Source organism: Homo sapiens, chromosome X (assembly GCF_000001405.40).
Source record: "Homo sapiens chromosome X, GRCh38.p14 Primary Assembly".
In the NCBI taxonomy this organism is placed as follows: Eukaryota; Metazoa; Chordata; class Mammalia; order Primates; family Hominidae; genus Homo; species Homo sapiens.
The window spans coordinates 92,288,398-92,307,699 of record NC_000023.11 but is presented as its reverse complement, the minus strand read 5'-3'; the positions used below and the strand labels follow the sequence as shown (position 1 = coordinate 92,307,699).

Genomic DNA, 19,302 nt, shown 5'->3' with positions numbered 1-19,302 from the left:
TGATTTAACACATTTTTAGTTCTAAGAATGTTTTTGTAGAATCTTTAGGGTTTTGTATTTACAAAATCAGGCCATAATGCATATAAGACAACTTAATGTCTTTCTTTCAAATCCATTCCATTACAATGTTAAATAGAAGGAATGATAGCAGACACCCTATTCCTGTTCCTGATCTTAGAGGTAAAGCTTACAGACTTTCATATTATGTTAGCTGTGGGTTTTTTATATGTAGTTTTTATTATGTTGAGATAATTTCCTTCTATTCTAGGTTGTTGCTTATTTTTTATCATAAAAGGGGATGTTGAATTTTGAAAGTGTTTTTTGTACATTGAGATGATAATTTTTTTCCTTCATTCTGTTAATGTAGTGTATTACATTGTTTGATTTTAATACACTGAAACATCCTTGTATTCCAGAAATAAATCTCACTGGGTCATGGTATATAATCCCTTAAATATGTGGCTGAATTTGGTTTGCTAATGTTTGTTGAGAACTTTTCATCAATATTCATCAGCAGTATTGGTCTGTAGTTTTCTTTCCTCAGTGTCTTTTTCTGACTTTGGTATCAGGATCACACTGACCTTACAGAATGAGTTGGTAAGTATTTCCTTTTCTATAATTTTTTGGAAGAATTTGAAGGGGATTGATGTTAACTTTTCTTTAAATGTTTTGTAGAATTCACCAGTAAACACATCTGGTCCTGAGCTTTTCTTTGTTAAGAGTTTTTTATTTTTTGTTCCCCTTCCCCTCCCAATGGATTCTTGCTCTGTTGCCCAGGCTGGAGTGCAGTGGCACGATCTTGGCTCACTGCAACCTCCACCTTCCAGGTTTAAGCAATTCTACTGCCTTAGCCTCCAGAGTAGCTGGGATTACAGGCACGCACGACCACGCTCGGCTAATTTGTGTGTGTGTGTGTATTTTTAGTAGAGACGGGGTTTCACCATGGTGGCCAGGCTGGTCTTGAACTCCTGACCTTGTGATCTGCCCACCTTGGCCTCCCAAAGTGCTGGGATTACAGGTGTGAACCACGGCGCCTGGTCAAGAGTTGTTTTTTTTTTTTTAATTATTATTATTATTACTGATTCAATCTCTTTACAATTATAGTGCTATTTGGTTCCTTCCTATCTCTCTCTTTCATTCTTGATATTTCTCATCTTTCATTTCTGATATTAATTAAATATTAGTCTTTTCTTTTTTTTCTTCATAAATTTAGTGAAATTCTTGTCAATTTTGTTGATCTTTTTAAAGAAACAATTCTTAATCTCATGGATAGTCTCTATTGTTTTTCTATTCTCTATTTTACTTACTTCTGCTCTAGTCTTTATTATTTCTTTCCTTCTGTTCACTTTGGGTTTAGTTTGTTCTTTCTCTAATTCTTTATGATGTAAAGCTAGGTTGTTGATTTGAGATTATTTTTCTTTTTAATGTAATTGTTTATAGCTATAAATTTTCCTGCTTTCAATGCATCCTACAAGTTTTGGTAAATTGTTTTATTTTTATTTGTTTCAAGATATTTTATATTTTCCCTTGCAACTTCTTCCTTGACCTATTGGTTGTTTAAGAAATTTCCACATATTTTGGATTTTCCTTCTATCGTTGATTTCTAGTTTCATTCAATTGTGATTGAAAAGGATACTTTGTATAATTTTAGCCATTTAAGATTATTGACTTGTTTTATGGCTGTCATATGGTCAATTCTGGAGAGTGTTCTAAGTGTACTTGAGAAAAATGTGTATTCTCCTATTTTTTAAAAAAACACAAAACCTGTTCACTGCCATTGTCACCCATTGTACATTTGGTTCAACAGTTTTCAGAGAAAAAAGATGTTTATTCTTTTATGTTAGTTAAATTTTGCTCTGGATAAGTGCAGCAAAATAGTAAGAAATGTAAGGGTGGTGGCTAGTTTGAATGTACCTCTGTCATTCAATCATAATTTACTGTATTCGTAACACATATGCATATGCCAGCTTCCTCTAGGTAGATTCCACTTTAAAAGTTTGTGAAAAGATGTGATGAAGTAACATCAAATGTATATGCTTAACAGGTGTTATAAACTGAATAGATCCCCCCAACCCAAATTCATACTTTGAAGCCCCAACCCCCAATGTGACTTGCAAATAGGGCCTTTAGGAAGGTAATTAAGGTTAAATGGAATCATAAAGGTGGGGTCCTAATTTGATAGGACTGGTGTCTTTATAAGAAGAGGAAGTCCAAATTCGATACGACTGAGGAAGAGACACCAGATATCTCTCACTCTGCATGCACACAGAGAAGAGGCCATGTGAGCACACAGCAAGACGGTGGACATCAGCAAGCCAGGAAGAAAGGCCTCACCAGAAACCAAACTTAATGGCACCTTGATCTTGTCTTGCACTTTCTGAAACAGGAAGAAAATAAATTCCTATCATTTAAGTTACCCCATCTGTGGTAACTTTGTTACCCATATGTGGTAATTCTCATAACTGTTATGGCAGTCCTTGTAGACTAGTACAACAGCTTTTAGGCTGTGTCTATGTGTGGCATGACTATCAATAATTTTAGAATTTTGTTAGGAAGTTTTTCTGAATATCTGACATAATCTGGTGCTAAGTGCAGTCTTAGTAAAATATAGTAAATCAACAAGAAAAATTGTATTCAATTGGCTGTGGGTAGACAGATGTGAGTGTAACAGATTGCTTTCAAATATTCCAATTTCCTAGATTATCTCTTGGGATACAGCAAAAAAAAAATGGCTGCAAGATTATATTCATTGCAATCATGGCTAACTTAAGAGGGCTGGGAAGCTGTCATTTTTCTAAGTTTATTTCAATTCAATATCATCATATTTTCATCTCAAATTCACTAGAGGAATCAGTCAAAGTAACAGTTTTATTTTACTGCTCTTCGAGCAAAGTTTATTATGATTTTTAACATAAAGAGTAGTGTAGTACAGTGGAAAGAATATTGGATAGGCTAGAAAGAGTTTAGAACATAAGGATGGCAACCTAGTTTTAGACAATAAGATATTTTCTGAGCCAGGGAATATTACTTAATGTCCCTGAATCTCATTTTCATCCTCTGAAGAATAAGAGTGGGAAGGCAAGCTAGATATTCCCTAAGGATTCCCCCAGCTCCAACAATATATTATCCTAAGACTAGTGTTTTTCTTATACAATATTGTCTATTTTACTTTGAATTATACCAGTCATAAAAGACCATATCTAACACAGATATGGATATCATAGGCAGCATATTTATATCATTGAGTGGTTCTTGTACAATGTCATAAATACATGTCAGTTAAAAATAAAACTGATATATCTGTGTAGCTTTTTGTCAATTTTATAAGTTCTGGTAAATCTGAATCAGTTTCTGCTTTGCTTCAGACTGTAGATTTGAAAGTCTTCAACGATGGCAAGATAACCATTTTTATATCTTACATCAAAGGCAGGTAGCTGTATTCACTAAATGAATAGAGTAAAAGCCTTCAATAAAAATAAAATTTATTTATTTTGGTTAACATTAAGTTTATAGCTAAATTAGGAAACATAAGGGAAGAATTTTTCAGGTATCTGATTAATACCATCCACATAGGTTGACAACCTAGATGACCCTTGGGAGACATAACCTAAACATAACACAGGAATAAAACAGTGTTCTTTTGATTTATCTTTAAATATTCTACTTGTTTGTCTTCTCTAAGCATTATTGTTGACAGAATTTCCCACTCCACTGGTAACTAAGAGTTCTTATTCTTCCAAAATAAAATATCTCAACTTAGTCATTTAAAACTCGTGTTGCATTGTAGTAAACATCTGAACTCATTTAAGAACTGTTTATCTTGTGAGGTATGATTGTAGAGCACCAGTTATAAATGGCATTACAACATACTGTCTTGGACTGTAATTCAACCATTAGCGTTAGTTGTACTCTTCATGGGAAGGAAATGCAGTGTCTTAGTATGAAAATTACTATGTAAAATGATATTTTTAAAATGAGAATGGGATGTTCAATTTCATATGTTTGACAGATATCGCTTCCTAAACATCTGGGAGCCTGAGAAACATTTAAACACATAGTTGCAGGTGGCAAACAGATGCAAATATATTCACAGTTTTTGTCAGATAGTGTTTCTTTACATTATATATAAGCAGTTTTTTGTCAGATAGTGTTTCTTTAAATTATATGGACATACTTCCTGTCAAGAATGTTCCTCTTATTTATATTTACCTCAGTTGGAGGTTCTCTAGGACCCTACATGAATAATCATCTTAGAGAAGGAGATATAAAAACCCACTGAATTTTCGAATTTGGTATAGAAAGGCTGACCATACTTTCCTTCTTGAAACTCTGTCAGGCAATTGTTCTGCAATGCTGTTATCTTACTCTATTCAGTTTTGTTATCTTCTTCCAGTAGAATTTTCTGGCTTCTCTTCTTCCAATCATATCATTGAAAGTATATTGTGACAGAATTTCACCCATGGAGCTGTTATCTTCTTCCTCTTCTATGTGATCTTCTTGGGTAATATCTGTTCCAGTGACTTCAAATATTGCATATTTTATCATGCCTCTCACCTTTCTATCTCCAAGTTCAAATGCTCTCATACCTCAAGAGCCATACTTCTAGCTGCCTGCTAAGCATCTTCAACAGGATGTCCTACAGCCACATCAAAACAATATCTTCAAAACCATAGTAATTACATTCTGCTTCGAGTTTGTTTCTCTCCTTATGTATTCCACTAGCATTGAAATCAGACATTAGCTACAAAATATTGTTCCATTATCAAATTTTTACTTTTCTGCTAGTCAATATCTATATCCAATCAATAATTTCTCAACTTTCTATCTCTTATATTTCCCTTGAATTCATTCTCTATCTATTCTTACTCTTCAAGTCATGTTTTAAGGTCTTGAATCATTTAATATCTGGGCTTAGCTTAGTTGAATTTCCCTTCCATACAGCTTCTGGAACTATTCTTTAAAACCCCAAATCTGGTCATATCACTCAGATTCTTAGATAGTACATGGGTGCTGCATTTCTTAAAGGATAATTTTAAAATTTCCCAGTGTGACATACAAGCCCCTTCACAATCTGTGGAAGTCTCACACACTAAGCTCCAGGCTATAAAAAAACAACTGTCCTAGCCAATAAACTCTGATTTTATATTCTTTTATATTCAAATCATAGTGTAAAAACTGACTTCCAGCATGACATCTGAGGAGTTCCATGGATGTAATCCCTTGCAAAACTGGTAAATATTAATTTAAAAACAGCCATTTAAAGCGTCAGAAAATGATCTTAGAGCATCTAGCAAATGAAGATATACTTGTTCAAGAAAATCTACTAAAATTCTACAAAAAGAGCGAGAGTCTGTGGTATTCGTATGAAGACCTGTGCCTTCCTTTCTCCTCCCAGGTCAGCAAGACTACAACTCCGTTACACATGAGAGCAGCCAAGAACACAACATTCCCTTTTACCTGACTCCCAGTGGGAGTGCTATCTTTCTTAGGGGATCATAAGGTCAGAATTTCTTACCCTGCCCCTAACTTCCTGTTGTCGAGGCTAAGTTTCAGGTAAATGCAGCTGAGAGGTGAGGGCTTTCTTTTCTACCCAGCCCCCATTCAAGTGATGGAGGTTCTACCTTGGAAAAGATACAACGAAGAATACTAGGGTCCCAATCTGCCTTGCCTTCACTTGTAATGCAGTAGTTTCATGGCCAAAGAATGGCTGAAGCTACTACCACTGACCACTTTGTTACCTCCACTAAGCACTCAGCTCCTAAAGCAGGAGAATCACACACAGAGAAGTCGGCCAGTTCAGGACCAGGTAGTTTCACTGTTGAATTCTACCAAACGTTTAAAGGATAATTAACACCAATTCTTCACAAATTCTCCCCTTAAAAAATAGAAGAGTCAGGGAATACTTTCTAATTCATTGTACGAGGCCATGATTTCCTGACACCAGAACCAGGCAAAGACAACACAAGAAAAGGAAGCTGCAGAATAATATCTGGAATGTAAACACACAGATTCTCAAAACAAAACAAAACAAAACAAAACAAAACAAAACAAAAAACAAAAAAGTGAACCCAGACTCCTAGGAAAGGGATGCATTGAACATGTGAGGAGTGATTCACTTTCGCCACGGACATCTGGAATCCTGGTAGCAGGAGACCCCATGATCCCCATGGGCACTTGAGGTAGCAGCGAGAACTGCTTAAAGATTTTTAAGGCTGGGCAGAATTCCAGCCTATGTGGAGCCCAGAAGGTTTGGTGTGGGAACATCTGCAGCCAAGTACTGCCAGGGACGCCCATTCCCCAAGGCTCGCCATGCTCCTCAGGACACTCTAGACTTAGGGAAACTGTCAAACCAGAACACAGCAGAACAATCTTGCCCAGGAGACCAGTCAGTCCACCCTGAGCGCCTCCTGTCTGCTAACCTCTCCTGGGTCCCCACCCTGGCCACGCCTACTTGCAGTTTAGCCTCCAATACTCAAATGGGGTGCCTGCAGGATCCCGCATCATAGCTCCTGCACAGGAAGACCACACCTGACTGTCGGAGAGCTCCAACATCGTGGCCCTGGCCTACTGGCACCAGCCCAACTGCACCCTCTCCCCACTGCAGCCTCCCTTATGTCTCTTTGCCAGCAAGCACTTGCCCACAGCCACACTCTCATTGTTTTGCTGGCACACACATAGGCAAGTAGACTTTGCCTTTCCTTCACTTGCTGGCACAAGGGTGCACATACACCCTACTGTGCCATTGCCCAACAGCAGCCCTCCAGAGTTAGACCACACAGCCCAGGAGTGCTGAGCTGAGCCTTGCCTGCACCAAAACGTACCAGAAATGAAGCCAGTAAACTGAACCCACCTTATACAATGACCAAACCCCCAAGGATGTCAAAGAAAAGAAAAAGCAAATAATCATAATAATGAAAATTCCTCGCTGGGCACAGTGGCTCATGCCTGTATTCCCAGCACTCTGGGAGGCTGAAGCAGGTGGATCACGATGTTAGGAGTTAGAGACCGGCCTGGCCAACATAGTGAAACCCCGTCTCTACTAAAAATACAAAAAATTACCTGGGCATGGTGGCAGGCACCTGTAATCCCAGCTACTCGGGAGGCTGAGGCAGGAGAATCACTTGAATCCAGGAGGCGGAGGTTGCAGTGAGCCGAGATCGTGTCATTGCATTCCAGCCCGGGTGACAGTGCAAGACTCCGAAAAACAAACAAACAAACCAACAATAACAACAACAACAACAACAAAACAAAGAATAGCAACTTCTTGAAGGAAAGGATTGAAGAAAAATCAGCCCACACATATGAGAAAGAAACAGCACAAGCACTCTGGCAACTCAAAAAGCCAGAGTGTCTTCTTACATCTAAATTAACACAGTAGTATCCCAGCGATGAATCTATTTTTAATTTTTAATTTTTGTAGGTACATAGTAGGTGTATATATTTATACATGCACATGGCACATACTCAAAATTGACAACACGATCAGACATAAAACATTCCTCAGCAAATTTTAAAAAATCACACAAACCACACTCTCGGACCACAGTGCAATAAAAATAAAAATTAATACTAAGAAAATCATTCAAAGCCATATAATTACATGAAGTTAAACAACTTGCTCCTGAATGACTTTGGAGTAAACAATGAAATTAAGGCAGAAATCAAGAAATTATTTGAAACTAATGAGAACAAAGATATAATATATTAGAATCTCTGGGACACAACTAAAACAGTGTTAAGAGGGAAGTTTATAGCACTAAACACCCACATCAGAAACTTAGAAAGATCTCAATTTAACAACCTAACATCACAACTAGAGGAGCTAGAGAAACTAGAGCAAACCAACCACAAAGCTATCAGAAAAGAAATATCCAAAATCAGAGCTGAACTGAAAGAAATTGAGATGCTAAAAACCATAAAAAACATTAATGAATGCAGGAGTTGGTTCTTTGAAAAAAATTAATAAGACAGATAGACTGCTAGCTAGATAAAGAAAAAAAGAGAAAATTTAGATAAACACAATCGGAAATTTCAAAGAGGACATTACCACTGACCCCAAAGAAATACAAAAACCCGCAGAGACTATTATGAACATGTGTATGTATGCACACAAACTAAAAAACCTGAAAGAAATGGATAACTTGTTTGACACATACAACCTCTCAAGACTAAACCAGGAAGAAATTGGATCCCTGAACAAATACAAAATGAGGTCCAAAATTGAATCAGTAATAAATAGCCTTCCAACCAGAAAAAGCCCAGAACCAGACAGATTCACAGTGAGTTTCTACCAGATATGTAAAGAGGAGCTAGTACCATTCCTGTGGCAGGCCAGGTCTCACTAACACAGACCTCCCTAACAACTGTTTCAGTACTGACTGAGTGGTTATTAAAAGCCGATAAAGCTTTACCTATCAGCTTTTAATAACCACTCAGGATGGAATGTAACAAAAGCCCACCAACAGTTTTGCCTAGGCCTTTCCTGGGCCTTAAAGCATGACAAGATAATGACGGAATTCTTAACAGGACCTGTTTAGGATTAAATAAGTTTTATTGGGAGTATGGAGAAACTCCGCAGGCCTCCACAAACAAGCTTTATTGGGGACTAAAGGAACTCCCCAAACCTCCATGATTTAGCAGGAGACGAGATAAGGGTAATCACCCCAGCAGCTAGACCCATCTAAGTTAAGTAAATTTACTGAGGCTCCAGAGGAAGGTCTTCAGGACTCAGATCTTAGTTATAGATTAAAAGAAGTTAATCACTTATGTCTTTAAATGAATGCACACTTAGATGTAGACACATAGCTTAGAAGGTATATAAGCTCTGAAAGACTGTAATTTTGAGTTGGTCCGGCAATATTTTTCAGGCCTTGTCCCTGTAACTGGTTACAGAAATAAAAACTCTCTTCCCCCCTAGTTCATCTGCATCTTGTTATTGGGCCACAAGAAATAGCAGCCCGAACCTCAGTTTGGTCTGGGAACATTCCTACTGAAATTATTCTATAATATGGAGAAAAAGGGACTCTTCCCTAACTCATTCTACGAGGCCAATATCATCCTGATACCAAAACCTGGCAGAGACACAACAAAAAAAGAAAACTTCATGCAAATATACTTGATGAAAGTAGATGCAAAAATTCTCAACAAAATACTAGCAAACTGAATTCAGCAGCACATAAAAAAGTTAATCACCATGATCAAATAGACTTTATTCCTGGGATACAAGTTTGTTTCGACAAATGCAAACCAATAAATGTGATCTGTCACAGAAACAGAACCGAAAATAAAATTCTCATTTGTATCTCAAAAGATACAGAAGGGGATTTTGATAAAATTAAACTTCCCTTCATGTTAGAAACACTCACCAAACTAGGCATTGAAGGAGCCTGCTTCAAAACTATGAGTCATCTATGACAAATCCGCAGCCAACATCATACTGAATGAGCAAAAGCTGGATGCATTGCCTTGAAAATTGGAACAAGACAATAATGCTCTCTCTCTCACCACTGCTATTCAAAACAGTGCTGGAAATCCTGGACAGAGCAATCAGACAAGAGAAAGAAATAAAAGGCATCCAAATAGGATGACAGCAAGTCAAACTGTCCTTGTTTGCAGGTGATATGATTCTATACCTAGAAAACTCCATAGTCTCTGTCAAAAAGCTCCTTGATCTGATAAACAACTTAAGCAAAGTTTCAGGATACAAAATCAATGTACAAAAATTGGTAGCATTCCTATACACCAATGACATCCAAGCTGGGAGCCAAATAAAGAATGCAATTCCAGTCACAATAGCCACAAAAAGAGAACAATATCTGGGGAAACATCTAACCGGGAAGGTGAAAAACCTCTATAACAAGAATTGCAAAACAGTGCTCAGAGAAATTAGAGATGACACAAACAAATGGAAAAGCATTCCATGCTAATGGATAGGAAGAATCAATATTGTTAAAACAAACATAGTGCCCAAAGCAATTTACAGACTCAATACTATTTCCATCAAACTAACAAAGACATTCCTCACAGAATTAGAAAAGCTATTTTAAAATTCATATGGCACCAAAAAGCCCTAATAGTCAAAGCAATCCTAGGCAAAACGAAAAAAGCTGGATGCATCACATTACCCGACTTCAAACTATATTACAAGGCTACACAGTAACCAAGATAGGGTGGAACTGGTACAAAAACAAGCACATTGACCACTGCAATGGATTAGAAAGCCCAGAAATAAAGCCGCATACCTACAACCATCTGATCATTGACAAAGTCGACAAAAACAAGCAATGTGGAAAGGACTCTCTATTCAATAAATAGTGCTGGGATAACTGGCTAGCCATATGCAGAAGATTGAAACTGGACCCCTTTCTAACACCATATACAAAAATCAACTCCAGATGGAATAAAGACCTAAATATAAAACCTAAAAGTACAAAAACACTGGAAGATAACCCAGGAAAGACCATTCTGGACATAGGACCTGGCAAAGATTTTATAACAGAGAAATCAAAAGCAATTATGACAAAAAAATAATTGGCAAATGATATCTAATTAAACTAAAGAGCTTCTGCATAGCAAAAGAAACTATGAACAGAGTAAACAGGCCACCTACAGAATGGGAGAAAATATTTGCAAACAATGCATCCAACAAAGGTCTAATATCCATAATCTGCAAGGAATATATATGTGAAAAAATGTTCAACATCACTAATCATTAGAAAAATGCAAATCAAAACAACAATAAGATACCATCTCACACTAGTCAGAATGTCTATTATTAAAAAGTTGTAAAATAACAGATACTGGTGAGGGTGTGGAAAAAACAGAATGCTTATGCACTGATGGATGGAATGCAAATTTGTTCAGCCATTGTGGAAAGCAATGGCAATTTCTCAAAGAACTTAAAACAGAATTACCATTCAACCCAGCAATCCCATTATTGGGTATAGTCCCAAGGAATATAAATCATTCTACCATAAAGACACATGCACATGGATGTTCATTGCTGCACTAGTCACAGTAACAAATACATGGAACTACCTAAACACCCATCAATAGTATACTGGATTAAAACAATGTGGTACATAGGTATCATGGAATACTATGCAGCCATAAAAAAGAACAAGATCATGTCTTTTGCAGCAACATGGATGGAGCTGGACGCCATTGTCCTAAGCAAGCTAACACAGGAACAGAAAACCAGATACCACATGTTCTCACTTATAAGTGGGAGCTAAATATTGAGTACACAAGAACACAAAGAAGGGGACAACAGCCATCGGTACCTACTTGAGGGTGGTGGGTCGGGGGAGGGTCAGGACCAACAAACTACCTGTCAGGTACCATGCTTACTACCTGGGTGATAAAATAATCTGTATATTTAACTCCTGTCACATGCAATTTATCTGTATAACAAACCTGCACATGAATACCAAAACCTAAGATAAAAGTTTAGAAAAAAAACCTAGTGAACCAAATTCAGCAATGTACAAAAATAATTATACACCATAATCAAGTGGGATTTATTCCAGGGATCCAAGACTGATTCACCATAGGAAAATCTATCATATAGCAAATCAATAAAATAAGAAACAAAATGCACATGATTTTTTTTTTTTTTGAGACAGAGTTTCGCTCTTGTTGCCCAGACTGGAGTGCAATGGCACGATCTCGGCTCACTGCAACCTCGCCTCCCGGGTTCAAGCGATTCTCCTGCCTCAGCCTCCCAAGTAGCTTAGACTACATGTGTATGCCACCATGCCCAGCTAATTTTTTGTGTTTTTTTAGTAGAGATGAGGTTTCACCATGTTAGCCAGACTGGTCTCGAACTCCAGACCTCAGGGGATCCGCCCGCCTAGGCCTCCCAAAGTGCTGGGCTTACAGGCATGAGCCACGGTGCCCAACCCACATGATCTTTTTAATAGACACACACACACACACACACACACACACACACACACACAAACACACCTGTCAAAATCCAGCATGCTTTTATGGGGATAATATTCAACACACCAGGAATAGAAGAAAACTTTCTGAACCTAATGAAGGGCATTTATTAAAAACCCACAGCTAACATCATAATTAATGATGAAAGATTGGGTGCTTTCTCACTAAGACCAGGAAAATAACAGTAATATCCACTCTTGCTCATTTCTAACGTGTTGCACTGGAGGACCTAGCGAAGATAATTATGCAAAACAAAAATGATAATAACAATAAGAAACAAAATTCATACAGATTGGAAAGGAAGAAGTAAAACTATCTCTATTTGCAGATGACATGATCCTGTATATAGAATATTCTAAGGAATCTACGAAAATTATTAGAAATAACGAGAGTCCAGCAAGGTTGCAGGATATAAGATCAATATAGAAAAATCAACTATATTATTCAGTTTATTTAGTTTTTGTTCACTTTTAGACATGACCAATATAAATAACACATATACTTAACTTTTGGGCAGATTTATATCATTTTAATGCTTTCTCAGTTCTATGATTACTTACAGTTCAGTGCTTACCATATTATTCATGAGTCATATTCTGTTTGCATTTACCCTTTGCAAAATTTAAGTTACTATTCACGATGATTTTCTCAATACTTTTGGTTTCAGTAAAAGTTTTCTTAACCATTCATGAAACTACATTTATCTAGTTATTCCAATTAGTTAACAAATACTATAAATTACTTCTTTTTAAGTATTTACTATTTTGGCTTCTAGAAGAGAGTTTAAAATAGCTGAGGTAGAAATAGATAACTTTGAAATTTCTGTGACTCCCTTAGTTTTACAATGTGTGATGCTTCATTGTATTAAATTCAAGATAATAATAGCAATTTGCTCACCAAAGAGTACACACATATGTTTCTCTAGGGCCTTGAATCCAATAATTACTATTTATTTTTATGAATCTCCAAACAGCAGTTCTCTGAGAAGATGCTTTTATTTTACAAGTGAAACCCTAAGCTCTTCTTGATGCGATCTAGCATATAGCAGCTCCAGGACAATCATTTATGAAAATTTATCTTTGTAGTCATTTTGGGTCCTCTTGTTTTTCCCCAAGACCACAGCTCCTAAAATGTATAAACAAAATGGAAATGTCCATTCCTGTTGATTATTGTAATGTTTTGTGTAGCTGTCTTCTTAATTAATGAGCATATTTCAAGGAGATTAAGATAGATTGGAATAAAAGCCAATAATATTGCTAGAATTTATGCCAGGATAAAATGCTCTAATGTTTTTAATAAACTTCAGAATTGGCAGGGCACAGTGGCTCACAGCCTGTAATCCCAGCAATTTGGGAGGCTGAGATGGGTGGGTCGCCTGAGTTCAGGAATTCGAGACCAGCCTGGCCAACACGGTGAAACCCTGTCTCTACTACAAATCCAAAACTTCAGCTGGGCGTGGTGGTGGGTGCCTGTTATCCCAGCTACGTGGGAAGCTGAGGCAGGAGAATCACTTGAACCTGGGAGGTGGAAGTTGCAGTGAGCCAAGATCATGCTATTGCACTCCAAACTGAGCAACAAGAGCAAAACACCATCTCAAAATAAATAAATAAATGAATGAATAAATGAATAAAATAAACTTGAGAATCTTTAATAAATTTTAGAATCATTTTAGATTTCAAAAAATGTTGCAAATTTAGTACAGGTAGTCTTTCTCTACACCCATTTTCCCTGTTGTTAACATCTTACATTATTATAATACATTGTGCCACAACTAATGAACCAATATATCTATACACTATTATTAACTAATTTTTACTTTATTTCTATTTCTTAATGTCTTTTCTCTGACCCAGGATCCCATCTAGGGTTCCACATTACATCATTTAGTCATCATATCTCCTTCAGCGCATCTTGACTATGACAGTCGTCAGGTTTTCCTTGTTTTTGATGACCTTGGTAGTTTTGAGAAGTACTAGTTAGGTATTTTATAGAATGTCCTTCAATTCAATTTGGGAAAAGCTCAAGAGTTTTTCATTGAGATTTCGTAACAGAAGAGACAAAGATGTGCTTCTGCGTGCCAAAATAGTCTTTGGAACATGTTCACAGCTTTAGTTCTTTTTTTTTTTTTTTTGAGACGGAGTCTCGCTCTGTCGCCCAGGCTGGAGTGCAGTGGCGCGATCTCGGCTTACTGCCAGCTCCGCCTCCTGGTTCACTCCATTCTCCTGCCTCAGCCTCCCGAGTAGCTGGGACTACAGGCGCCCGCTACCACGCCCGGCTAATTTTTTGTATTTTTTGTAGAGGCGGGGTTTCACTGTGTTAGCCAGGATGGTCTCGATCTCCTGACCTCATGATCTGCCCGCCTTGGCCTCCCAAAGTGCTGGGATTACAGGCCTCAGCCACCGTGTCTGGCCCACAGCTTTAGTTCTATGTTATAGAACTCTATTACCATTCCAAAGTTCTTCATTAAATTTTATTCAGTGTTGCTTTTAATTTTACTTTTAGTCACACTGGAATATTTTATTTAAATGAAAAACTGTATTGGATGCCACTCCTCAGAAACAATTTTCTGTTAAACTTGACATCAAAAATGACATTTTAGTGTCACTGAGATGTGCCTCTTAGTTCATTTTTCTCCTCACTTTATTTTCTGTAGAAGACATTTTCATGTAATTAAATCTTCCTAGTACACGGTCACAGCTAAAATCCCTGCATATGTGCACACATATACAGCATGACAACTGCCTTGGCAAAAGGCTCTTTGTTTTCCTGAATGGTTCCTTTATGACCTTCAGTCACTGGCTGTTATTGATTCCTGAAACAAATATGATTCTTTCTTGGTTTTACTAGGCACACTCTCTCTTGTTAATTACTTTTAGTTCAAATCACTTTGCATTTCGTTAAGGTCAACAAATTGAAGGAATTGAATAATTCATTGCTGGACTTTCACTGCAGTTCTTTTTCCTCTACATCTCAGTTCTTTGAATACCAATAAAAAATAAAAACATTTTTTTCTTTGTCTATTGTTCCCAATAGTAACTGTGTGCGATTCTGTGTATGTGCTGGCAGGGAGGTGTGCAGTGGTGTAGGGCACCAACAGAAAGATTACATAGCAAAAGGTAGAAAGACATCTTCCTTGAATGTTTTCTTTTTGACTTTTCTTATTTTCCTTCTCAGGAGGTTGTGGCTTCAGTAAATGACAGTTTCATTCTACTGTTAAGAGAGGCATTTTTAAAAATCACCCTCTATATACCTAATTTTAAAAGTCTTCTGAATTCTTTCAATAAAATAGAACAAGACATAATCTGAACCAGCAGGTAGTACTTAGAAATGCGTTTCATGAAAAGCTTGCATAAGTATTTATAAAATGAGAGTGAGAACATTTAAAGAACAAGTGTGCAGGTAAAATGTTCCAGCAACATGCAAAAACATTAAGGATACTTCCAATTTATGAATGTTCTGTTCTTTTCTTTAAAAAGATACCTGCTGATTGTTATGACATTCAAAATATTTTTTTCCAAAATAATTTTTTTTTCTGCAGCAGACTTTGAGAAGTCTTTGCACATTGATCAGTCACTTCATTATTTCTAAAATTTAAATGACTTTGCATCCATAATCCAGAAAGACAAGATTAACTATATATTTTATGCATATTAGGTTGTAACTATTACATATAGTACCCAGTATATTATGGTCCACATTTTATTGGATTGCATGTGACCACTGCTAACAACCAAAGTGATGCATTTCACATTTTGCATTCTTTCTATTCAGAGCTGATTTTCCAAATAGTCTCCAAAATGGATAAAGACAATGAATTATTTTAATTATTTTTTGCTTTTGTGTTCATGCTTTTTTTTCTTTTTTCTTTCTCTTTTTTTTTGTTTTTGAGACAGAGTCTTTACATTTTCATAATGCCCTATGGTAGACTAAGTCATGATTTGAAAGTATTTCAGTGGCTATAAATCATGTGTCTGATGCTCTTGTCCAAGATATGACTTTTCCATCTCTGGGCATTCAAGTATATAAACACTCTGTTTCATTTCCAAAGATGAAAAGTAAGCATATAGTTTTAGTTATAGCTTATGGAACTTGTTCAAAAGTAGGAAACACACAACAGAACTAAAAACTAATAATCTTTAATATATTATTAAGCAACAGAGTAATTAGATAGTTCATTTTGCTAGCTTAAGACCTCATACCCATTTTTAACCTATATTAATTCCATGCACAGACGTTAAAAGGTTGGAATTGGGTTACAGAAGATGTGTGTTGTAATTTACTGAACCTAAAAAGTTACAAACATGGTTTATCCATCTGTGAGGCCCTTCTGTATGGTAGGAGGGTAAAACTTCTATGCTTTTAACAAATGGGAATATTTTTCTGAAACTGTGTTTAATTATTTACAGTTACCAAATGTATATACAGGATACAGGATATATGCCTCTTCTCCTCAAACACACATAGACTTTATAGTATTTTATAAGAAAAAAATCTTTGGAAAGAAAATAATGTATCAGTATGCTTTAACAAATGAAAAATTTCTGGGCTGGGCGAAGTGGCTCACACCTGTAATCTCAACACTTTGGGAGGCCCAGGTGGGAGGATCATTTGAGCCCAGGAGTTCCAGAACAGCCTGGGAAACATAGTAAGACTGCATCTCTACAAAAAACCAACAACAACAAAAAATAGCTGGGCATGGTTGCAGACACCTGTGGTCCCAGCTACTCGGGAGTCTGAGGCAGGAGAATCCCTTGAGCCCAGAAGGTCAGTGCTGCAGTGAGTCATGTATGTGCCACTGCACTCCAACGTGAGTTACAGAGAGAGACACTGTCTCAAAAAAAAAAAAAAGACAAAAGAAAATAAATGTTTCTCAGTTCATCTTTCATCCACTAACTACATCCTCAATGTAAACTATTTTATAAATCTTGTAATTATAAATCTTGTTACTTAAAAGAAATACATGGTGGTGCATTGTTACTAATATACAAGTACAAATACTATACAATAACTTTGCCTCCTGAAATAACGTGATTGATGAAAAGGGCCCAATAACTTCAATCAGGTTTATTTATCTAGTTTGAAAATATTTGCCCACTTAGTTATGCCACTGTTTATTCATTGCAAAATATTAAACACATTTTAGACAAACATGACAACATAAGAGGATAATTTCTTCAAACACTTGATTTTCCACTTCTACAAACAGTGAATTTGATTTTTCCACAAGTCAACACGCTGATATGTTTCTATAATATCACTAGACATATCTTTGCTATGACTGCTGTTTATGATTCTGAAATGATGGCATGATGTGTTATTTAGGAAGTGGAACCTGGTTAAAACACATTCTGTGGAGCCAAATGTTAAAAGTCAATTGCTCCTTTCTGGTTATTTCATTGAATGGCTTTAACGATGTGTTTTAACTGCCGAGTGAATCCGTGAAAGTGATACACTGATTCTAACTTCTCTCTAATCATGATGGAAAAATAACCATTTGATGTAAAAGGTTGTAAAAATTAGCAAATTTTATGTCTGATCATCCCTAATATACATACATACAAATGGAAGGTGAATAAGAAATGAAGGTATAATTAGTACTCACTAATTTGATTCATAATTGTTTTATTAGATGTCAAATAAATAAGAACAGTTGCATTATCATAAAACTGTAGCTGATAAAAAATTATTTGATCGAAATTGCAGCTATAATTAACAATTTTAAATGTTACCTCTATCATTCCCACTATTAACCTTATATAAAAGAAGTGTTTTAAACTAATATGTTTCAGATTCCTTTCTATGACTTACTTTCTTTAAAAATATAGTATATATGATTTAGGAAAATATGAACAAATGATAAGCTTTCCTGGGAAATATTTGTTAAGTAAGCTGACAGATATTTCTATGAAATTATTCATATGAAAATTATGATCTGCATTAGTTATTTAAAAGAACAAAAGTAAATAGTTGTCTGTGTAATAAATTATGCTTTTAGGCAATATTGTTCCTACTATTACTGAGTCTACACAGTAAAAACATAGTTGCATTTTTTAAATGAGTTGAAGTATCTGACCTAGTCATAACAGTGGTTTGCTATTTATTTACATGTGAACATCCTCACAATGTTCACATGTAAATTTGTTTTCCCTCTTGTTCTAACCCAATAGTACTCAGCCCTTAGTTTACTAAAATGTATTAAAATCACATTTAACTTTTCCATTTTAAGTACATTTGTTCATATTCATCAGTGCGTAAGTACTCATTTATAAGTGAAAGCTGAAATAAATGGAGTTGTCATTTAAATCATGAAAATACAGTTATTTAATTTTATGATGCTTCAGAAGCTACGTTTTAGCCCTTGCTTTAACAAGTTGGAATAATTGAGCCTCATTTCCAATAGAAAAAACAACTTGAATAAATATTCAACCTCGGTGTGCTGTATATTGCGTCTATTGAGAAGACAGTAGATATATGATTCCAATGTGATTTTAAATACCTGATCTGAAATTCTTTGTAATCCTTCATAACGCATATAATAGTAATAGCTTATATTTTAATATATTTTTAATCATATGAATAAAAACTCAGTGATAAATCTTGAAGGAATTTCTGCAAATAGAATTGTTATGCAGTCAATAAAGAACAACCATAAAAATTGAAACGGGTGAAGTTGTGACTCTATTTGATAGTTCCAATACAAAATTTACTAAAATACAAAATACTCATAGTCTATTATTAAAGCAAATATTTTCAGTATTTTAGCTGATGATTCATAATTCTTAAATAAATAGAAATTATAGCGGGATCAACTGCAGAGTGATTACCTTTCAATACAGCATTCATTAATTTCTCTTTTACATTATAAAAATTTGGTCAATTATAAAATTAAGAAAATATATTCATTTCCATGAAACACTCTTAAAAACATTTGACCTTCAGACAAAATTATTTACTGGGATGATATAAAACCTGGTACATGTTTTTGAAAAAAACCACATCAAGATTAAAATCTATAATTAAATTCTTAAAACAAATCACAGAAATACTGTATACATTTCCTCTGATTTTTATTTTTCCATACTGACAATAAAATTTAACCAATGAAAATACCAAGGCATGTGCAAAGAAATGACGTCCTACCTTGATTAACAGTAAAAATAAACAGATATTTTAAGTCTGGAATTTATTGATACAGCCTTAGAAGTAACTAATTCATTAGCCGGGCATGGTGGCACATGCCTGTAGTACCAGCTACTCAGGAGGCTGAGGCAGGAGAATCGCTTGAACCCGGGAGGTGGAGGCTGCCACTGCACTCCAGCCTGGGCGACAGAGCAAGACTCTGTCTCAAAAAAAAAA

General features: G+C 35.9%; 1 protein-coding gene across 14 annotated transcripts in view; it reads right to left on the bottom strand.

Annotated features, from left to right (window-relative positions):
• Nucleotides 1-19,302, bottom strand: part of PCDH11X (protocadherin 11 X-linked) — an 843,856-nt gene that overhangs the window by 315,531 nt on the left and 509,023 nt on the right. The window lies entirely within an intron of this gene.